The sequence below is a fragment of the Homo sapiens genome, chromosome 19 (genome assembly GCF_000001405.40).
Source record: "Homo sapiens chromosome 19, GRCh38.p14 Primary Assembly".
Taxonomy (NCBI): Eukaryota; Metazoa; Chordata; class Mammalia; order Primates; family Hominidae; genus Homo; species Homo sapiens.
In genome coordinates, this window is record NC_000019.10 from 15640027 (window position 1) to 15663690 (window position 23664).

At 46.0% G+C, this 23664-nt stretch overlaps 1 protein-coding gene across 7 annotated transcripts; it reads left to right on the forward strand.

Moving 5' to 3' along the window:
• CYP4F3 (cytochrome P450 family 4 subfamily F member 3) lies at positions 871-22799 on the forward strand. 7 transcript variants are annotated; one of them, NM_001199208.2, is made up of 13 exons: positions 871-919; positions 1389-1587; positions 3881-4025; positions 7026-7079; positions 7171-7298; positions 9134-9255; positions 9887-10157; positions 12543-12609; positions 12797-12926; positions 18238-18371; positions 18465-18529; positions 18701-18783; positions 19194-22799. In NM_001199208.2, exons 2-13 carry the CDS (start codon positions 1390-1392, stop codon positions 19357-19359), a joined length of 1563 nt encoding a protein of 520 aa, NP_001186137.1. In that variant the 5' UTR covers positions 871-919; position 1389; the 3' UTR covers positions 19360-22799. The 7 variants fall into 7 exon arrangements, with proteins under 7 accessions (NP_001186137.1, NP_000887.2, NP_001186138.1 ...); NM_000896.3 differs by lacking the exon at positions 3881-4025 and adding an exon at positions 5693-5837; NM_001199209.2 differs by having other exon boundaries at positions 871-903.

Here is a 23664-nt window from a genome sequence, read left to right on the forward strand (position 1 = left end):
TTGGGGCTCCCTCCTCTTAGGAGCCCTCATTGTCCCCCGCTAAGGCCCTCATCGAACATCCCATTTCCCAGATGGGAAGACTGCACCCAGGAGGGGCAGTACTGACCAAAGTCAGAGCAAGGATGAGGCAGAATGAGGACTCCATTCATGGTTCCCTGGCTCTGCCCTTCCCCTGCCTGGACCCCATCCGTTCCCTCTCATCCTAACCCTCCACGTCCCCGCTCTGTCCTCCTATACTGAGTCCGGCCTCCAGATTTGCTTTTCCAGCTGAGCTCTTAATCTCCAGAATCTGACCCAGGTAATCCTCAGTGGGGCTGGATTCTTTGTTCCCGTTCCTAGCAGTCAGGTCTCCAACAGGGCCCTGGACTGCCTGGAGGCAAGACTTGAACTCCATCCAGCAGCAGGGGGATAGAGGCTTGTCTCTTCCAGGTTGCCTGATTCAGCATCCAGAAGTGGTACACGGTGTCCTACCGGCCCAGGGTTAGAGAGGAGCACAGGAGATGATCTGGAACAAGGCTTGGCCTGGCCTGGCTCGCTTGACACCTGAACTCTCAAGTTCATGCTTTTATCTGCCACACACTCAGTAGGTGCTCTTTAAGAGCAGGTGTCACACAGTGGAAACTCTATCTGACCCCTCTCGGCTTACTCTCCACCTTATGTGGGAGGTGCTGAGACCTGAGGATCCAGTGCCTGTGCTGTGTCACCCTGAGCTGGTTCCTCTGCATCCAGCTGGTCTCCCACACCCAGGTTTTGGCCAGCTGCCCAGACATGGGAGCGGCACCCAGGCTGTGGGGATTGGCTGGCCCAGCCCAGCCCAGCCTAGCCTCCCACAGCCTTCCCTACATCAGGGGCCAGGGGAAAAAACCTCCCAGAAGAAGGGGAGAGGAGGTTGTGTGGGACAAGGTGCTCCTGACAGAAGGTGCCAGGGTGGGGGTGGTGGGCCTGGGGCATCCTAGCCTGTGATGGAGATGGGCACTGGGCAAGGGATTGGGCGCACACATAGGGGAGCCCCAGCCTTCCCACATTCTCCATTGCTGCCCAAGGCCCAGGCAGCTCCTGGTTGCTGGCTTGGAGGATGAGTGGTTTTCTAACTGAAACCAAGCCCCTGGCAACGTCCTAATGATTCAGGCTGGGCCTTTCTGGACTTTAATCAGTTTCTCTGTCTTTCTCAATCTAAGTGCTTACCGGGTAACTGGAGGCCACTTGGTTGCTGGTTTTGGCTGGGCCTTTCTGGACTTTACCCCTCAGCCCCTGTTTATCCATCCCTGTTTACTCTTACTGTTCTATCTCCAGCACTGCCCGTCTCTGCCTCTCTCCACTGTCCCTGGAGCTCCCTGGGCCCTTCCCTGGGCCTCAGGACCTCACTCACCACCCCATCTGCCCTGCAGGATGCCACAGCTGAGCCTGTCCTCGCTGGGCCTTTGGCCAATGGCAGCATCCCCGTGGCTGCTCCTGCTGCTGGTTGGGGCCTCCTGGCTCCTGGCCCGCATCCTGGCCTGGACCTATACCTTCTATGACAACTGCTGCCGCCTCCGGTGTTTCCCGCAACCCCCGAAACGGAATTGGTTCTTGGGTCACCTGGGCCTGGTGAGTGTGGCAGCAGGACGGGTCTGGGGTCTCAGGGTGGATGGACTTCCTGAGGGGTAAGAATGAGGCTCAGGTGAGAGGGGGTGGGCTGGGGTCTGGGGTGGCAGAGAAGCAGGGGAGGCGTCTTACTCATTCCTCTGCTTACTCATTTCTGTGAGGTGCCAACCCAAGCCCTTCTCACCTCCCTGTTCTCCCACTCTTGGCCTGTGTTGAATCCTTTTCCTGCCTGTCTTTCCACATTAATGCACCTCTGCGGGGCTCTTGGGCAGGGGGTTGGGTGCACAGAAAGGTGAACCCCTGGCGTTCCCACATTCTCCATTGCTGGACTCGAGGCCTCCTGTACCCACTGTTCAGGGTCCTCTCCCTACCTGGCCTATTTCCTCTTATGAGGGTATAGGTGGGCCAGAGGAGAGGTGTGGGCTGTCTCTCACCTCCACCACATCCGGAGGCACCTTCCTCTTATCTTGTTCCTCCCCAGTAAGATGTCCCAATGGGGTCCTGTTGCCAAACCCACATAAAAGTTGGCCACTCACTTCCCCTTTCAGAAGCCTTCCCTGACCTTTCTCCTCCCCCAGACCTTGCCCTCTGACTTAGACCTGCTCTCCCCTTTGCGGAACGTGGTCTCAATCTGCTCATTGCAAATGGCAGGATTGATGGGTGTGTCCACAGGTGAAGTGGGAGGGTGCACAGGATGCACTAGCACAGAGCCTGGTGCAGAAGCTTCTCCCAGGTGGGAGCCACTGTCATGATGGACAGTTAGAGTCACCTCTGCTCCCCTAGTGACTGCTGAGAAGGGAAGGTCCCCTGTGTGCAGAACCTTCTCCATGGGAGGAACTGGAACCTGTGTGGCTGGTGGAGGAACCAGCCAGGGCATGAAGGGATGTGGGGACCAGCCTTAGGGACATGTCCTGAGTCCACACTGCTCCCCACAAACCTCCCCTGTGAGGACCTCCTCATATGCCCACCTCTGGGCTGAAATGACTCCCAGAACAAGGAAATTTTTCCTCTCAAGCTAAGTGGGCCTCTGTGAGTGGACAGTGTGTCTTTTCCTTCTGCCTTGGGATGCGCTCTTGGGACTTGGGGGTGGCCCCAAGAGAGATAGAGCAGGAGGAATGTAGACAGATAGATAGGTAATAGGATAGATGGATGGATGGATGCACAGATAGGGTGAATAGATGGCTGGCTGGCTGGATAAGTAGGTGGGTAGATAGACAGATAGATAGATAGATAACAGGATAGATGGATGGATGGACAGATGGATGCATGGATAAGATGGATGGATGGATGGATGGATGGATGGATGGATGGATAATACATACATAAAGTAGTAGATAAGATGGATACATTAGGTGGATAGATAGGTAGAGTGGATATGTAGGATGGATAGATTAGATGGATGGATAGATAGCTAGATGATTGATAGATAATAGGATAAATGGATGAGTGGATGAATGTACAGATAAGATGGATGGATGGATGGATGGATGGGCAGATAGATATATAGATAGAAAAGTTAGATAGGATGAATAGATTAGATAGATAAATGAATAGATAGATAGGTAGGTAGATAGATAATAGGCTAGATGGATGAATGGATGCACAGATAGGATAGATGAATGGATAGATAGACAGATATATAAGATAGAATGGATGGATTAGATAGATGGATAGATACATAGAAACATAGGTAGATAGATAGATTAGATAGATAGATAGATAGACAGATAGATACATACATACATACATATATAGATACATAGATAGGTAGATATGTAGAGATATATATAGGTAAATAGATAGATAGATAGATAGATAGATAGATAGATAGATAGATAGATAGATAGACAGACAGGCAGACAGACAGATAGATAGATAGAAGAGGGAGTTTATTTCGGGAATTGGCTCACAGGATTATAGAAGCTGAGATGCGTCATGGACTGCTGTCTGCAGGCTGGATAAACAGACACTGGTTGTGTAACTGAGTCCAAAGGCCTGAGACGGTGGAGTTCTGGTGTCCAAGGGCAGGAGAAGATGGATGTGCCAGCCCCACAACAGAGCAAATTAGCCTTTCCTCTGCATTTTTGTGCTACCTGGGCTCTCAACAGATTGAATGAGCTCTGCCCACACTGGGGAGGGTGATTCTTCCTTCCTCAGTTTACCAAATTGAATGCCAGTCTCTTCTGGAAACACCCTCACAGACGGATGATCAACTATCTGGGCATCCTTTAGCCCAGTCAAGTGGACACCTAGAATTAACCATGACAGGAGGTGACGGCCCCTGCCTTGCTTGCAGGTCACCCCCACGGAGCAGGGCATGAGGGTCCTGACTCAGCTGGTGGCCACCTACCCCCAGGGCTTTAAGGTCTGGATGGGCCCCATCTTCCCCGTCATCCGTTTTTGCCACCCCAACATCATCCGGTCTGTCATCAACGCCTCAGGTACCACCTGGAATACTTGGTGGTGGGTGCTATGGTGCATTTGAGGCCTGCAAGTCCCTCTATCCCCAAGCCGTGTGTGGCCCCTGCAGTACTCTGGTCTCTCCTTTCCTTCTCTCTCAGCCATCTTCATCTTTCTTTCATGTATTCACTAATTCCCATCTCAGCATCTCCTCTCTCCATTGCCATCTGACCCCCTGTCCTGGTGTTCTGGGCTGCCCTGGGGCCCCAAGAGACCTCAACCCAAGGCCCTGTCCTGGAGGAACCCCCAAGCTTAAGGAGGTGGATGTGGACAGAGACATCCCCAACTTCATGGGGTCAAGAAAGGGCCAGAGGGAGATGGATGACAGCCCAGAGAAGAGCAAGTTCTCTGCTGGGGCAGGCTGGAAGCCTTCCTGGAGGAAGAGTTACTGGAGCCATGTCTGGAACAATGAGTAGGGATGTTTGAAAGGAGAGTGCAGGGTGATGCAATTGGGCATCGTTAGTGTTCAAGGCCCCTTGCCAGGTCTAGCGTCACCTTGCCTGTCACAAAGGTTAGAACAATGAGGACTTGTGGCTGGTGGAGGATCTGGACTGTTATTTCTGTGATGTCCATCTCTGGTGTGGGTCAAGTCCTTTTACCCCATCCTGTAGTTTGTCTGCCCTAAGTTCATTGCTTTTCTGCTCTAGGCCCTGGGAATCTCCAAAAGGAGACTCCAGCCTAGTTTGGGGCCCTCTCCTTGACCCCTGTGCTTCCCTTCTTGGACAGGCCAGGCTGAGCAGGGAAACAGGCAGCATCCTACAGAGACCATGGCTCTGGCCTCAAAATGCTGAGTGACTCTGGGCTGGTTCCCAGCTGTCTCTGGTTACTGAGGTCTCTTTCAGTTGTGAGTGGTGGAAATCCAACCTGGTGTAGTCTAAGCAAAGAAAGAGAATCTATTGATTTTAAAGTCCAGGGAGGATGGCCTTCAGGCATGGCTGGATCCAGGTCTCACACAGTGTTACTTCCTCTCTTGGCTTTAGCTTTCTCCACGCCACTTTTGGCTTGTCTTCCTTTCTTGGCTTTAGCTTTTTCCACGCCACTTTTGCTTTCAAGACAGTCTTTCCCTCATGACGTCAACAATGAGTCCTAGAAGCTCAATTCTCATGGGAAAGCCCACATTTCCCCCAGAGTTCCCAGAAAAGGCCCATGATTTACTTCTCCTGGCCTGGATCACCAGATCAATTTTTCACCCAGTCCCTGTGTTTCTGATTGCCTAGTCTCGGCAGGCCTGGGCCTTCTAGAGCTACTGTTTTGGGGGCACAAAGAAGTTTGATGGTTAAGGAATCAGGCCATGGGTGCAGATAGACCCAGTCTCAGGCCTCAGGTTTGCCATGGTCTGGGACTATGGGCAAATTACTTTATCATTTAGAGCCTCAGTCTCTTCATCTGGAAAATGGGATGAATGAGAGCCCAGGGAACATGGTGTGTGGATCCACATGGGGAAAGAGCTTTTCTGTCTGTGTAACTGAAGGACTGGAGAGTCCTGCATGGAGGATGTGAGGAGGAAGCCCAGTGGGGGCTCAGCACTGAGAGGGAGATGAGATGCTGCTTGAAATTCTCAGGGAGAGGGCTTCCACCTCTTCCCTGCAGATCCTTCTCTCTCGCAGCCTAGGAGAGCATGAATTGGGTCCTGTGTCTTTCTCTCCAGATTCACAGCTCGGAGGAAGGTCTCCTATACACACAAAGCCTGGCATGCACCTTCGGTGATATGTGCTGCTGGTGGGTGGGGCCCTGGCACGCAATCGTCCGCATCTTCCACCCCACCTACATCAAGCCTGTGCTCTTTGCTCCAGGTAGACACTGCACTGGCCACTCCAGGTAGACACTGCACTGGCCACGCCTTGCCCACAGCTGGGGTCTCTGTGCTGCCTCCAGCGGGTCGCGTGCCCATGTGCAGACAGGAGGGGCTGTGGTGGAGATGCCACTGCTTCCATCTCCCCTGGACTTCCATCTGTCTGACCTCTGTTCCTGTTTGCTCATGTCTGGGAAGTGTCTCTATGGTGGCTGTTATATGGTCAAGTCTGCTGTACGGCTACGTCTTGTCACCTGTATATTTACACCTGGGTCCTGGTTACACCTGAAATATGTTATACCCGGTTACATCTGGTATATCATTCCAACTGAGGTCATGTAGAGCTGGTCATGTGTGGAGTTCATGTGTGGCCAAGGACATTTGGGGCATGTGAGGGGCTGTTTTGTTCTTGTCGCAGGTGCTGTTTGACACTGCCGTTTTCTCCTGCTGGTCACATCTGGGCCATGTTTGGGGGTTGTGTGAGGTCTGGGACCCAGGGTCCCTAAGTGAACTGTCTGAGACATTATTTGAGTCTTGTCTGAGGCATGTGTTGTAGTATGTTTGGGTCATACGTGAGGAACAGTCTGGGTCACGTGTTGGCTATGTCTGGGTCGTTAAAGGTACCATATTTATATTCAACCTGGAGCCTGTATGTGGAACACGCTTTTAAGGTCATGTTAGACCATCTCATGTGCATGTTAGAGCATACCATCTCATGTTAGGAATTGTCATGTATTTTGTGGCCATGTCAGGACTTGTGAACACATGTCAGTGTCATGTCTCATGTCTAGGTCCATGTCAGAAGATGCCATGTGAGAATATGTCAGAGAGTGCTGGGACAGACAGGGTGTCCTAAGTCCTTGTGAAGGCATTCTGTAGAGTGCTGAGCGTGTTCAGGGTTTGCAGAACATGTTGGATCATGTAGGAGGCATGTCAAGGCATGCTGGAGCCCTGACATAGCTCCTACGTGCCATGTTAGGCAGTGTCATTGCTGTGCTGTGCTGCCGTAGCCTGGTCTGGTCTTCCCTCCCCTCCCCCATCCTGCCTTCTTCCTCTCCCCTTGACCCTCTTCTTGCTATGTGGGGCTTGGAGGGAAGAAGTGCAAACCTCTTGCTGGGAGCCTCCCCCCACCCCCAAAGTTCCTCCTTCACCTGCCTCCATGGCCCCTGATTGTCCTCATTTATGTCAGCTGCCATTGTACCAAAGGACAAGGTCTTCTACAGCTTCCTGAAGCCCTGGCTGGGTGAGTATCTGTAGGTGAACAGGGTTGGGAACAACCTGGGGGGCCAGGGGAGGGAGATGCCCTTGCCCATGGCCCTTGGCTGCCCTGCCAGGGGATGGGCTCCTGCTGAGTGCTGGTGAAAAGTGGAGCCGCCACCGTCGGATGCTGACGCCTGCCTTCCATTTCAACATCCTGAAGCCCTATATGAAGATTTTCAATGAGAGTGTGAACATCATGCATGTGAGTTATTTGAAGCCAAGGTCCCAGCTGCAGCCTTTGGTTGGGGGGAACCACAGACAGATCTAGTCTGGAATTTTGGCTCTGCTGGGTGCCTCTGGGCCATTGTCTTCCTCTCTGAGCTTTGGTTTCCTCATCTGTAAAATCCCTACTTAAAAGAAGGTCAAGGTGATGTAGTGGAGTCATGTCTCTGGCGCATAGTAGGTGCCCAGAAGGTGTCTGTTTCTATGTTCGCGTCACCCGAACCCTGTAAACTCAAGAGGGTAATGACAACAATTGCATAATAGCTGTTGCTGATAAGAAACAACCTGAAAACTCATTGGTTTAAACCAATAAAGGTTTATGAATCCTGATAAGTCTGTGGGACAGTTCGTGGATTCTTCTGGATGTGGATGGAAGGGATCAGTCATGGTACATGAGCAGCCTGGGGTCAGGTAGGCAGCCTTGCTGGTGTTGGCTGAGTTCTCTCACATGTTTGGGTTTTGGCTGGCTTCAGACCGATACAGATGGCCTCAGCTTAGACCCCTGGATGTTCCTCCATCTGATTCTCTCCCTCCAGAAGGAGTCCCATGGTTTACAATACAGATAGGGTTCCAGGGAATAAGATGAGGCTTAGCTTCATTAGTTATCACCTCATCATTTTTACCACATTGTATTTTGACATCAAAAGCCAATAGTCCAACACGGAATCAATGGCAGGGGGTAAAATAGGCTCTGTCTATTATTGGGAGTTGCTGAAAAAGCACATTGCAAAGGGTGTGGATATGGGGAGAAGGGAAGAATTGGGGCGAAGGTTTTGTGAAGTGTTTAGAATTTTTTAACTTTAAAATTGATGTTAAGCTAGTTACTGTTTCATAAATTATTCTGGAAGAACAAGAAACTCCTGGGTCAGAGACAAAGGATAGTTTTACTACTCATGACACAGAGAGCAGCATGTGTTGCTTGTTAGATTGCACTTCTTCTCCAAGCCTCTCAAATCCCATGGGCTGACACAAGTGGGCTTCTATAAATGCCTGCTGACATCATATATTGCATTACAGGGAAGGGGCATTAGGCTTAGGAATCTGTTTTTATAGCAAGCAGAAGCAGCATATCCAGGGGGTGTCCCTTATCCTCAAAGTTATTTTCTGCAAACACAACTCTGAGAAATTTTTCAAGTTAAGAACATCAGCGTGTTGCATTTGTGACATGCCCAGAAAGGGTGCTCAGGACTCATGGAGGACTACCTCTACAAACCTAGGATATTTTTATAATCAATTTATAACTGCAGATGAGGAAACCCAACATTTATTGAGAACTCACAATATGCCAGAAAAAATGCCATGTGCCCATTCCATGATACGAGTATATATTGTCTAATTTGATTTTAACAACTCTGCAAAGGAGAGATTATGTATTTCTGCCCCATGGTAGATGATGAAACTGCAGGTCTGAGAGATTAGGGAGCTAACCCAAGTTCACCCAGCTAATGAGTGAGCTTGGCATGGTGGAGCAGAGTTTCTAACATGAATTATATGGCTCCAAAGCACATCATCTTAACTGTTCCTGAATATCTGACAGGTGGGATATAGGGGAGGGTAATGAGTTGACTAATGGCACACAGAGCACAGAGGACAGAGCTGGAACTTGAACCTAGGTCTCCTGACTCCCAATCTTGGGTCTTCATCTCTTAATAGTAACAGCTTTTGCTTGCACCATAACCTGGTGCTCCCGGGTAAAGGGTCCCTGGGGAGAAGATGAAGAGGCTTATTCTGGGGCGTGCATATTGATTGTTGGGGTTGGAGAGCTGCTCAAGGGAGCAAGGGACCTGCCCCAGCTCTGTCCCCTTCTCTGGCTAGGCCAAGTGGCAGCTCCTGGCCTCAGAGGGTAGTGCCCGTCTGGACATGTTTGAGCACATCAGCCTCATGACCTTGGACAGTCTGCAGAAATGTGTCTTCAGCTTTGACAGCCATTGCCAGGAGTAAGTTCTTGCCCAGGGTCTGGGATCCTGGGCCGTGGACACAAAGTTGGTAGGTGGGGGGCTGGGGAGGACTGAGCAGGGAAATCAGACAAACCTTCTTGGAGGAGTTGTTATACCTGATCGTTGAAGGACTGGTATGAATTTTATCTTGAGGTTTCCAGGGACTCATTAAAAGGGTTTGAACTGGTGGGTGTGGTCAAAGTGGGTCTCTCTCAGGGACTGACTGTAATGTAGCACTAAATGGAGTTAACACTGATGCAAAGAAGCTAGGGTGGAAGCTGGACCATGGACCAGTTGGAAGAGGATAAAGTCTGAGCTTTGTGGACAGCTTCAGGAAGGAGAAGGGGCAAGACTGTATACTGGGAGGGAGAGAGGGAATAGGAGCATAATGTGCAAACTATCCTCTGGGTGCCTAGCTGCATGGAGGCATCTCACAGAGATGGGATGCAGGGAGAGATAAGAGAGCCTGGAGAGTCGATTTCATGCTGATCCCCATCCTGCATCTGAGGGGCCATCTGTTCCTGGATACCCCGTTTACTGATAGGAGGTAGCTCCTAGCTGCTGGTGGGAGGTGATCCTGGGGCTTCAGGTGTATTAAATTGTTGCCTCCCTTTCTGCCCTTATCCTGCAGGAAGCCCAGTGAATATATTGCCGCCATCTTGGAGCTCAGTGCCCTTGTGACAAAAAGACACCAGCAGATCCTCCTGTACATAGACTTCCTGTATTATCTCACCCCTGATGGGCAGCGTTTCCGCAGGGCCTGCCGCCTGGTGCACGACTTCACAGATGCCGTCATCCAGGAGCGGCGCCGCACCCTCCCTAGCCAGGGTGTTGATGACTTCCTCCAAGCCAAGGCCAAATCCAAGACTTTGGACTTCATTGATGTACTCCTGCTGAGCAAGGTGGGCCTCTCTGGGATCTGAATTCAAGAAGTAGAAGGGAGCTTCATGTGAAATGTCAGATGAAAGAATTTGAACTTGACCCAGAGGGCACTGGGGAGCCATGGAAGGTGATTGAGGAAGGGAGGGACAGGTCAGAGATAGGTTTTGGAGATAGCTCTGTGGACTAGCACCTACCAGGGGACTGCTAAATGAAATTGTGATGAGTCTGAGATTTACTCTATTTATAAGTTAATAAGCTAATTGGCCACCTTTTAATCTATATATCTACATCTATACCTATGTCTGGGTCTATGTTTATGTTTTTGCCTATGTCTTTCTGTATCTTTGTCTCTGAGTTTGTGTCTCTCTCTATGACTATGACTATGTCTATGTCTTTGTCTTTTTCATTGGCCATATCTGTATGTCTTTGTCTGCATCTGTGTCTTCATCTTTGTTTATGTTTATGCCTTTGTGCTCTCCCTCCCTCCCTGCCTTCTTTTTCTTTCTTTCTTTCTTTCTTTCTTTCTTTCTTTCTTTCTTTCTTTCTTTCTTTCTTTCTTTCTTTCTTTCTTTCTTTTCCTTCCTTCCATCTTTCTTTCTTTCTTTTTCTTTCGTTCTTTCTTTCTTTCTTTCTTTCTCTCTCTTCTCTTTCTTTCTTTCTTTCTTTCTTTCTTTCTTTCTTTCTTTCTTTCTTTCTTTCTTTCTTTTTCTCTCTCTCTCTTTCCTTTTTTTGACGGAGTCTCGCTCTATCACCCAGGCTGCAGTGCAATGGCATGATTTTGGCTCACTGGTAACCCCTGCCTCCCGGGTTCAAGTGATTCTCCTACCTCAGCCTCCCGAGTAGCTAGGACTACAGGGGCACGCCACCATGCCTGGCTAACTTTTGCATTTTTAGTAGAGACGAGGTTTCACCATGTTGGCCAGGCTGGTCTTGAACTCCTGACTTCATGATCCATCCACCTTGGCCTCCCAAAGTACTGGGATTACAGGCGTGAGCCACTGTGCCCCACCTTGTCATGTCTTTTCTATGTCTGTGTTTATGTCTTTTTCTATATCTATATTTTCGTTCTTGTCTATGTCTATGTGTCTGTGTCTATGTCTTTTTCTTTTCTCTGTGTTTGTGTCTTTGTCTCAGTGTATGTCTATGTCCATGTTTTTTTGTCTGTGTCTATGATTATGTCTATGTCAATGCTATATCTATATCTTTGTCTTTTTTTTTTTTTGAGATGGAGTCTCGCTGTGTCACCCAGGCTGGAGTGCAGTGGTGCGATCTCGGCTTACTGCAACCTCCGCCTCCTGGGTTCAAATGATTCTCCTGCCTCAGCCTCCCAACTAGCTGGGATTAGAGGCACCTGGCTAATTTTTTGTATTTTTAGTACAGACGGAGCTTCACTATTTTTAGTCTCAAACTCCTGAGCTCGTGATCTGCCTGTCTCAGCCTCCCAAAGTGCTGGGATTACAGGTGTGAGCCACTGCACCCGGCCATATTTTTGTCTTTGAATTTGCCTGTGCCTGTGTCTGTTTTTGTCTGTCCATGTTTATGTCTATGAGTATTTGTGTCTGTGTCTATGTCCATGTCTATGTTTATGTGTATTTGTGTGTCTGTGTTTGTGTCTAAGTCTATGACTTTTTCCATGTGTTTCTGTGTCTATGTCTGTGTGTCTATGTCTTTGTCTATGTGTATGTCTGTTGTGACAGAGGCATTAAATCTCTGGATCAGAGCAGCTCATGTCTTGCTTACGGCAATACTATCAGCCAGAGTAGGATTGTGGCACTGACTCTCCATTCCCAAGTCAAATTCCTCCAAGGGCAATGCGATGTTTTCCCCTGTACGTGCAGCAGACTTTGTACCCTAGGAAAGGCACCCTATATTATGAGTCTCAGCACATTTTCTATAGAGAGAGAGAGAGAGGAAGAAAGAGAGAGGGCACCAGCTTTGTGAGAGATTATGTGCTTTGTTCTGGATGCCATATTCCATAGACTTACAACTCAAATGTCTCCAGGGAGATAAGATTCATTTACCACTGTAGAATGTGGGCAAATATCTTTGAAGCAATACTTAATCTCTAATTTCCAAGACAAATTGCCATTTAATTATCCTGTAACCCAGGTTGCCAGTGATTTTTTTCTCAGAAAGTTTTCATCAAGCAGAAACATGAAAGCATTCATGGGTCATTGAGTCTTCCCATTAGGGACCAAAGAAAAGGCAAGGAAGCCAGGGAGGAAGCCCATGGGGTTGGGGCTCTGGCCATGGTGACCAAGAAGGGTCTAGGAGAGCAAGATGGGCTTGGGTTTCTCGAAAGAGGATGAATCTTCAGAGACTGTCTCAGATTAGACTCAAGAGCCCTCAGAGGTACTGTGACTTTTTATGGGGGTGGGGGTGGGGGGTTATTGCCTTCTCTCCAGGATGAAGATGGGAAGAAGTTGTCCGATGAGGACATAAGAGCAGAAGCTGACACCTTTATGTTTGAGGGTGAGGGCCCCAGTGTGGGGCTAGAGTGGGGACTTGGATATCTCCATTCCAGGAACAGGGTGGGTGGACCCCTCGCACTTCCCATCCCCCTTCCCCCATCCTCCCTGAGGTCCTCAATGCAAGGTTGCTGTACACCCTCGGGTGCTGAAGCAGCCCAGAGACCCAAGCCTGCCTTGCTGCCCCCCAGGCCATGACACCACAGCCAGTGGTCTCTCCTGGGTCCTGTACCACCTTGCAAAGCACCCGGAATACCAGGAGCGCTGTCGGCAGGAGGTGCAAGAGCTTCTGAAGGACCGTGAGCCTAAAGAGATTGAATGGTGAGTGCAGGTGCTGGTGCCCTGTTCCTGAGCCTGTCTCATTGGCTCTGTTCCCCAGGTAGGGAGGGGAGAAGGGGTTGTTTTTGTTGATTCTGCCACTATTGCTTAGTGGGAATAGGAGCAGAGGACCACAGGCAGGACTTAGTACCCATCCTGACTGTCTGGGCAAAGGTTATAGGCCCTTAGGACAGAAAGACCTGGGCTTCTGAGAGAATTGTTGATGATATGTGAGGACAGATAACGCCACTTAGCATGTGTTCAGCAAATGAACTTCCCCTCCACTCTCTTCCTTTTCTCCAAGAAATATTTTTTTGAATGTCTTCACTTGTTGAATGTTTGCTCTTCTGTTCCCTAATTCCTACCCTTCCATCCAGTCCAGGGATTTATAAGGGAGACCTGGGGGTAAAATTCATCCATTCTTGTCCAGAACACCTGCATCATTCATCCATCCAGTCCTCGTTCAGCAAATACTCTCATACTGCATTCCAACCCCCACATCTGTGCACAGCATCTTTCTGTGCTCTGGAGACCTGGGAAGGACCCAACCAGGGATCTATTTTCCAGGTGCTCCCAGCCTGGTGGGGGAACTGTCCCTGGGCAGGACAGTCCCAGCCCACGTGGGCAGGGATGGGGTTTACAGTAAGGGAAGCAGGACTAGGGGGGTATAGAAAGTGTCTCAGTTGAAAGCCTGAATAATGATCAGTAGATAATTGGGTACAGTTGGGGAGCAGTGCTGTAGGTCAAGAAGACCACCTGGGGTCTTCGGGGGAGGAAGAGAGAGAGGAGAGAGAGAGAGAGAGAGAGAGAGAGAGAGAGAGAGAGAGAGAGAGAGAGCAGGGTCAGGACAGAAAGGAGGAGAAGGGGAGAAAGAGGGAGAGACTGACTTGTGGTGAGATGATAAAACTGGAGATGGTAGCAGGGGCTGGCTGTGGAAGCCTTGGGGAAAATGTTAATGGCTTCAGTTTTAGCCCAAGGGCAATAGGGAGCCATGAGAAGTGTTTGAACAGGGAGGGACAAGTCACATCTGGGTACCAGGAAGATCTTTCTAGGGCTAGTGTGGAGGGTGTACTGGAGAGGACCAGCTATAGAATGAGAGCGCAGTGGGGACATTCTGAGGCTCAAGCCAGGCCAGGGGCTGGAGGAAGGAGAGGAAGCATTGGAGTGGACGGGTGTCTTGGACTCAGTGTCCTCCCGTCCATGCCTTTGCCCAGCACAGCAGTCCTGGGAAGGGAAGAAACATTTTTATGCTTCTAAAATAAAGAATATTTTTGCAATTTTATTTTTTAAAACACATTTTTATTGATGCATAATAGATGCACATAGTTTTGAAATACATGTGATAATCTAATACATTCATATAATTGATAAAGATCAAATCAGTGTACTTGGGATATCCATTGCCTGAAATATTTGTCTTTTCTTTATGCTAGAAACATAACTAACATAAGCAAACTACTTTCTAATGTACAGTACATATTGTAAACTACAGTGAACCTACTGATCTATCAAGTGCTAGGTTTTATTTCTCCTATCAAAACTCAAATTCGTACCCATTAATCAACTTCTCCTTATCCTTCCCTCCCCTCTGCCAATCTATCTTCTTTTTTCATGAGATCCACTTTTTCAGCTCCCACACGTGAGTGAGAACATGCGATATTTGTCTTTCTGTTTTTGGCTTATTTACTTACCACAATGACCTCCAGTTCCATCCATGTTGCCACAAATGACAAAATTTCAGTCTTTTAAATGGCTGAATAGTATTCCATTGTGTATACACACTACATTTTCTTTATACATTCATCTATTGATAGACACTTAAGTTGATTCCATATTTTCGTTGTTGTGAATAGTGCTGCAATAAATACAGAAGTACAGATGTCTCTTCCATATATTTATTTTCTTTCTTTGGGATAGAAATTTCTTCTCTTTCTTTTCAGTAGTGGAATTTCTGGGTTATATGGCAGTTCTAGTTTTAGTTTCTTGAGGAACCTCTGTGCTGTTCTCTGCAGTGGCTGCACTAATTTATATTCCCACCAACAGTGTGTGTGAGTTCCCCTTTCTCCATATCCTCACCAGCATCTATCATTGCCTGTCTTTTTGATAAAAGCCATTTTAACTGGGATGAGATGATATCTCATTGTGGTTTTGATTTGCATTTCTCTGACTGTTAGTGACATTGAGCATTTTTCCATCTACCTATTGGCCATTTGTATGTTTTATTTTAAGAAATGTCTATTCAGATCTTTTGCCCATTTTAAAATCAGATATTTGGTTACTTTTCCTATTGAGTTGTTTGAGCTGCTTATGTATTCTGGTTATTAATCGCTTGTCAGATGAGTAGTTTGTGAGTATTTTCTGCCATTCTGTGGGTTGATTCTTCGCTTTGTTGATTGTTTCCTTTGCTGTGCAGAAGCTTTTTTGCTTGATATAATCTCATTTCTCTATTGGCTCTGCTTTTGAGGTCTTACATAGAAAGTCTTTGCCCAGACCCATGTCCCGGAGTATAAAACCAAGATTTCAAGCAAAATTATGCGTGTAGTTTAAAAAAAATGGTCGAAAGACTTTATGACAAAAATGAAGTTCCTTATTAAGCTCCACCTTAGCGGTGACTACAGTCAACAGTTCTCTGTGTATTCTTCTAGAAAATGGCTATCCCGATGCCCACATTTATATGAACTCACACTGTGACTTTTATTTATATGAACACTTACTGTGCTTTTCTTTGTAAGTGAAAGTCCATAAAATAGACACGGGTCTGCATATTATCTCTGAGATCTTTTGCTTTTCTCAAAATATACATTTTGGAAAATGAGTTTGTTTTTAAATTTGTTCTTTGTCTTTAATTGACAAGTTTTAATTATATATGTTTAGAGGCACAGTATGATGTTGTGATATATGTATACAACCTGAAATTATTAAATCAAGGTAATGAACAAATCCATCACTTCATGTGTTTATCATTTTTGTGTTGAGAACATTTGAAGTTTACTTTCTTAGCAATTTCAACTAATACAATACATTGTTCACTAAAGGCACCAGGCTGGGCAGCAGATCTCAAAAACTTATTCCTGTTGTCTAACTGAAGCTTCTACCCTTTGACCAACATTTCACCCTTCTCTGTCCCTCCCCCACCCCTGGCCTCTGGTAACCACCATTCTATTCCTATTTCTATGAGCTCAACTATTTTAGGTCCCAAGATAAGTAAGATCATGTGTGTTTGTCTCTTCTGCACCTGGCTTACTTCACTTAGCATGAGTTCCTCCAGGTTCTTCCATGTTGTGGCAAATGAGATAATTTTTTCTTTTTTAAAGGCTAAATGGGATTCCATTGTGTATATATATATATATATACACCACATGGAAAAACAACATTAAATTACAAAATGAATGATAAAAAAGAGTTCTTCTTGTACCAAATGAGACATTACAGATAAGACTAGGGTTTTCCTTGACAATCCTGCCACCTGACCTAATCCTTTCTCATTCTCCAAAGGTGTTTCTAGAGCCATAGATTTGTTTATCTATCTATCTATCTATCTATCTATCTATCTATCTATCTATCTATCTATCTATTTCTATCATCTATCAATGTATCTATCATTGATCTATCTATCATCTATCAATGTATCTATCATCTATCTCTATTATCTGTCTATCTATCTATCATCTATGTATCTCTGTATCTATCATCTATGTAACTATGTCTCCATCATCTATTATCTATCTCTCTACTTATTTATCTACCTATTATCTATGTATCTATCTATATCATCTATTTATCTATCTATCTATCTATCTATCTATCTATCTATCTATCATCCATCCATCCATGATCTATCTCTCCACCATCTATGAATCATTCATTTTTATAAATATATATCCATATGCTTCTTGCTGTTTTACATGTACATATGTATATATTTGTCACTTTTTTTCACTCAACAGGGTGCCTTAATGCTATCTTTTTCTGAGTGCTGTATATTTTATTCCATATTTTATTCAGCTCATTTCTATGTTGAAGAGGACATTAAACATTTTCAATTATAGTCAATATTTCCAATTTGCCTTCCAGAGTGTCTGTACTGATTTACCTTCTAGCCTGCAGTATGTGGTGAGACTAGTGATCCCTATTTCCTTCTTTTGTGTAACTGTATAGTATTCCATTGTGTGGCTGTTTATCTAAACATTTTCCCATTAATGTATATTTGGCTTGTCTCCAAACTTTTGCTAAACTGGACATGAAGCTGTCAGCACGTGTGCACAGTGACCATTCCTTACATGCATAGGCATCTCTGCAGGACAAATTCTCTGAAGTGCAATTGCTGAATCAAAGACCATTTGCACTGTATAATCATTATTTTTTTGAGACAGTTTCACTCTTGTTGCCCAGGCTGGAGTGCAATGGTGTGATCTCAGCTTACTGCAGTCTCTGCCTCCCAGATTCAAGCAATTCTGCCTCAGCCTCCTGAGTAGCTGGGATTACAGGTGCCCCCCCACCATGCCTGGGTAATTTTTTTTGTAGAGATGGGGTTTCACCATGTTGGCCAGGCTGGTCTCGAACTCCTAACCTCAGGTGATCTGCCTGCCTCGGTCTCCCAAAGTGCTGGGATTACAGGCATGAGCCACCATACAATATGACTGCAAATCCTTTACTATTAGCTGAGTTTTATGGCACAAACTTTCCCATAACTTTACCAATAGTACTATTGTATTATTGAATTTTAAATCTTGGCCAATTTTCATATTTCTTCTTTTGATGGACATTTAAAAAAAGTAAGAGTGAGGCTGAACATCTTTTGCACGTGTTGATGTTATTTGCTTTCTTTTTATGGAACTGGTATTCTTATTATTTTTCCTCTTTTTCTTTGGACCCTTTAAAAGTATTTACTTTTAAGAATGTGTATTAAGATTGATTTTTTTCTGCCTAGTGTTGCAAAATATTGCCTTTTAACTTTTGGAGGGTACTTTTGATTAATTTTTATGACGTTAAGTAGGTCCACATTTTTCTTTCACAGCTGTAAAATCCATCAACTTCCCAGGATTTTGTTTAGGGTGGGTGGGGGCCCCTTTACCAAATGTGAAGTTTTCTCTTATTCTCATGTCTTTTTCTGAGCTCTTTATGCTGTTCCATGGGTCTATTTTCTTGTTTCTGCAACAGTGTCACACTGTTTTTATTCCTGCGACTTTGTAACAATTCTTTTAAAAAGTTTATTTCGTTACAGGGAGAAAAGGTCTCACTTGCAAACAGAGAGAAGCTGGAGAGTTGTGTCTTTGCTCCCTTGATAAGGATTGGGGCTGGGGTGTTTCCTTAGGGACGACCTGGCCCAGCTGCCCTTCCTGACCATGTGCATTAAGGAGAGCCTGAGGCTGCATCCCCCAGTCCCTGCCGTCTCTCGCTGCTGCACCCAAGACATTGTGCTCCCAGACGGCCGGGTCATCCCCAAAGGTGCCACAGCCTCAGGGGGAGGAGCCTCCTGGGTAGGAAGAGGGGCCCCTCAGGCAGGGAGCATTGTCCTGACTGCCCCCTTCTCTCCCACAGGCATTATCTGCCTCATCAGTGTTTTTGGAACCCATCACAACCCAGCCGTGTGGCCGGACCCTGAGGTGCGGGCCCCCCGTCTCTGTTTTTGTCCATTCCAAGGCTCCTAGAGGAGGGGGCAGGGTTTTGATCAGGAGAATCCAACATCACCTCCCTCCAAGACACACACCACTGTCTCTCCAAGGCTGGCGGACTGGGAGACCCCACCCGGCAACCCTTCTTGGTCTCGCCTCCAGGTCTATGACCCCTTTCGCTTTGACCCAAAGAACATCAAGGAGAGGTCACCTCTGGCTTTTATTCCCTTCTCAGCAGGGCCCAGGTAAGAGCGGCCTGTGTTTGAGGCGGGGACGGGGAGATAGGTGCAGGGGTCTGGGCATGACAGTGGGGAAAAGGGGGACATTGTAGACGGTCCGAGTTCCAGCTCTCCTTCCCTCACCTCCTCTGGAGTTTATGGGAAAAGGCCCACAGAGTAGGATTGGGTTGGTCCTAGAAGGATCCCTAGTGAGCTCAGAGCTCCCTCCTACCCCACCTTGGTCTAGGCTGGGGGGTTGGAGCTCGGCTAGGCTCGCAGGATATGCAAGCCCACATGGGGATCCAGGCACGGATACCCCCTTCTCTGTTCCTCAAACTGCTCTAGGTGGGGTTGGGTGTCCCAGGCCAGGTTACCGGCTTGATGGGGCCAGGATGGGGCACCTGGGTGCAGTCAGAGTTTCCACCTCCCTCCCCAAGGAACTGCATCGGGCAGGCGTTCGCGATGGCGGAGATGAAGGTGGTCCTGGGGCTCACGCTGCTGCGCTTCCGCGTCCTGCCTGACCACACCGAGCCCCGCAGGAAGCCGGAGCTGGTCCTGCGCGCAGAGGGCGGACTTTGGCTGCGGGTGGAGCCCCTGAGCTGAGTTCTGCAGAGACCCACTCTGACCCCACTAAAATGACCCCTGATTCATCAAAAGTGAGGCCTAGAATTACCCTAAGACCCTGTTCCACAGTCCTGTATTCCATCCTAGATATCTACTCAAAATAATTGAGACAAGTGTTCAAACAGAAAGACGCTTGTGCGTGAATGTTCATGGCAGCCCTATTCACAGTAGCCAAACGATGAAAACAACCCCAAGCTATATATTACCAGATGAAAGGATAAACAAAATATGGTCCATCCATACAATGGAGTATTACACAGCCATAAAAAGGAATGAAGCAGTGATCCCCACTACACTGTGGATGAACCTTGAATGCATGATACTGAATGAAAGACATCAGATGCAAAAGGTCACATAGTGTACTGTCCTTTTATATGAAATTTCCAGAACAGGCCAATCTGAAGAGATGTATAGTGGATTGGTGGCTTTCAGCAGCTGTGGGGAGGTGGGACTGAGGAGCGACTGCTAATCAGGATGGGGTTTCCTCCTGGGATGGTGAAAATGTTCCGGACCTAGATAGTGATGAAGGTAGCACGACACTGTGAGTGCACTAAATGCTATTGAATTGGACACTTTAGAATGGTTGAAATAGTGATTTTTATGTGAATTCTACCTAAACATGCTATTACAGCTCATATATACTTTTTCCATCTGGATTCTTCACAAAAGAATATGTTGTGAGCATCTTTCCATGATATTAAATCATCTTAGGAAACATTATTTTGTGTTCTTCAAAATGTGCATGTTAAGTATTCAAATCAGTCTTAAATTTTTAAAAATATGTAATTTTAGAAAATAATTTAAAAGGTTTTGTTTCAGTTTGTAAGATTTCTTTTCTGGCACTTTAATGGCTTGAGGTATCATTATCAGTTACAAATTGAGTTATTCTTCATCAAATGACTTTTGGAGTAGAGATTTTATTTTTATAGCAATAGATGCACAGATATTCCTGTAAGATACAGGTGTGGTTAGACACTTTTCTAGAACAGGCATGCCCTGCAAACTCCACAGACACTGACTGTTTTTGTCCTATTAAGAAGTAGACCACTGAGAAGGGAGAAGGTGACATTTTAGCTTTCCCAGGTAAAAGTGGTTTTCATCCTCACACCAATTTTATGGACTGGACGTTAACTCTCTTGCTCAAGGTCACTCTGAGTGGAAGAGTGGGGATAAATCTGGTTCGTTTGGCATCAGAGGCCATGACTTTTCCTACCACAGAAGTAATTTTCAAAGTAAGTCTCTGCCCTAGGCACATCAGATCACCTGGGGACCACTCCAGAGTGAGTAGACAAGACTTTGACAGGGGTGCCTAATTTTTTTTTTTTTTTGAGATGGAGTCTCGCTCTGTTGCCCAGGCTGGAGTGCAGTGGCATGATCTCAGTTCACTGCAACCTCCGCCTCCTGCGTTCAAGTGATTGTCCTGTCTCAGCCTCCCAAGTAGCTGGGATTACAGGCACCCACCACCACATCCAGCTAATTGTTGTATTTTTAATAGAGGCGGGGTTTCGCCATGTTGCACTGGCTGGTGTTGAACTCCTAACCTCAGGTGATCCACCCGCCTCGGCCTCCCAAAGTGCTGGGATTACAGGCCCGGTCCAGTTTGATAGTTTGTTATCATGTTATACGTACACTTAGAATAATGATCCAGCCATCTCATTCTAACAGCAATGAGAACTTAGGCTCCCCTCTCTACTAAAATACAAAAGTTAGCTGGTCATGGTGGTGCGGGCCTGTAATCCCAGCTACTCGGGAGGCTGATGCGGGAGAATCACTTGAAACCCACAGGCGGAGGTTGCAGTGAGCTGAGGTGGTGCCACTACGCTCCAGCCTGGGGGAGGGGGACATAGCGAGACTCGGTCTCAAAAACAAAACAAAACAAAACAAAACAAAACAAAAACAAAACAAAACAAAACAAAACACTGCCAAACTGTTTCCAAAGCATCTGCATCGTGTTTAATTTCCATAAGTAACGTATGAGAATTCTAGGTCCTCCAAATAATTAGCAGTCCTTCGTAGTGTCAGTTTTTGTTTCAGCCTTCCTTATGGGTATGCTGTGGCATATCCCTGAGATTTTAATTCGCATTTTCCAGTGACTAAGGGTGTTGAACCACTCGTGCCTTCCTGTGCCTATTTGACACTCCTATATTTTCTTTGGTGAAGTGTCTGTTCAATCATCTGCTCATTAAATTTTCCTTCGGTTGTTTGCCTTCTTATTGTTGGATTTTGAGAGTTCTATGTACAAGTCCTTTGTCAGTCGTGTGATTTGCAAGTCTTCTTCCTAGTCTCTGAAGTTTCTTTCTTTCATAGAGCAAACGTTTTAAATTTTTATGAAGTAAGACTTCTCAGTTTTATTTTTGGTGAATTATGTTTATACTGCCATATATAGGAACTCTTTGCTTAACTGGAGGTCATGGAGATTTTCTCCTACATTTTCTTTTAAAAGTTTTATAGTTTCAGAGTTTACATGTAATTCCATAATCTCCATTTAGTTAAATTTTGTATGGGGTGTGAACTGTGGTTTGACTGTTTTCTTGTATATGGATATCCAATTGTTTCACACAATTTTTTTGAAAAGAATATCCTTGGCAGGGCACGGTAGCTCACACCTGTAATCCCAGCACTTTAGGAGGTCAAGGTGGGCAGATCATGAGGTCAGGAGTTTGAGACCAGCCTGGCCAATATGGTGAAACCACGTCTCTATTAAAAATAGAAAAATTAGCCAGGCGTGGTGGTGTGTGCCTGTATTCACAGCTGCTTGGATGGCTGAGGCAGGAGAATCGCTTGAACCCAGGAGTCAGAGGTTTCAGTGAGCCGAGATTGTGCCACTGCACTCCAGCCTGGGTGAAAGAGCTAGATTCTCTCTCTCAAAAAAAAAAAAAAAAAAAAGGAAAGAAAGAAAGAAAAGAAAAGAAAATCCTTTTTGCTTTAACTTGCCTTGCAGGTTTGTAGAAAACTCAATTGTTGAAATTTGGGTGGATATATTTCTGGATTTTCTATTCTATTCCATGTTGGACCAATACCACACTGCCCTAGTCACTGTTGCATTATAGTATATCTTTAAAGGAGTAATGGGAATCCTTCAACTACATTTTTTCCCCAATAATTTTTGGCTATTCTGCTTCCTTTGTGTTTCTATGTAAATTTTATCATCAGTGTGTCTATTTCTACAAATAGTCCTGATAGGGTTTGAATTGGGATTTCTGTGAATCTATAGATCAATCTGAGGAGACTTAATAATGATATTGATTCTCCCAATTCATGAATATAGTATACCCCTGTATTTATTTGTTTTCTTGAATTTCTTTTATCATTGTTTTGTAGTTTTCACCATGACAGTCTTGCACATATTTTGTTAAATGTACAGCTGAGAATTTAATTTTTTCTGGTGTACAATGCTAATAAAATGGTGCTTTAAAAGATGTGTTCTTCAGTTGTTTATTGTTAATACATGGTAGAAGTTTGTATCCTGTTTTTGTAAAAGGCCACATAGTCAATATTTTAGGTCTTGCATGCCCTATCTGGTTTCTTCTTCTCTTTCTCCTTCTTCTCCTTGTGCCACCTTTTAAAATATAAAAACCATTCTTGGCTCATAGGCCATACATATACAGTACACAGGCCATATTTGATCCATAGACCATGGTTTGCTGACCCTGGGATATAGGAATATGGTTGATTTTTGTATATTGTCTGTATATTGGATCATTCTTATTGGAATACAATAATGCTGTTATTTCCTCAGTCTTAAAACACTTCCCCTCTTGGCCTCATTTTCACACCAGTCGATGCTCCATTTCTTTGCCCCACTATGCAGCAAACTCCTTCAAAGAGTGACCCACATGTGGGTGTCAAATGTCTCCTCTCCCACTCCAAACAGGCTTTGAGAATCCTCTCAGGGGAGTGAGGGTTTATAAATGAGACATAAACCCACAGGACTCTGCTACATCTGTGTATGTAATTCTCAAAACACACTCAGGCCTGGTCTTGTTACTGGCTGCTATGAGACCTCCATCTTCTCCTGAGTGAGTGTGAAGGAGGCACTCTCTGCTGGACGGTTTGGGGACAACTGGCCCTATAGAGTCTTTATTAGTTTCATTGTATGTATGTGAGAGAGCAAGAGAAGACAGAGTGTGTGGGTATGTGACTCTATGTGTTTGTGTGACTGTGTGCAGTGTCGTAACAGCACATGTGTGTGCGTGCATACAGGCGCATATGTGAGGCATTCTGACTGGTGTTAGGTGGCGTTTCATTGTGGTTTTGATTTGCATTTTTATATGATCAGTGATG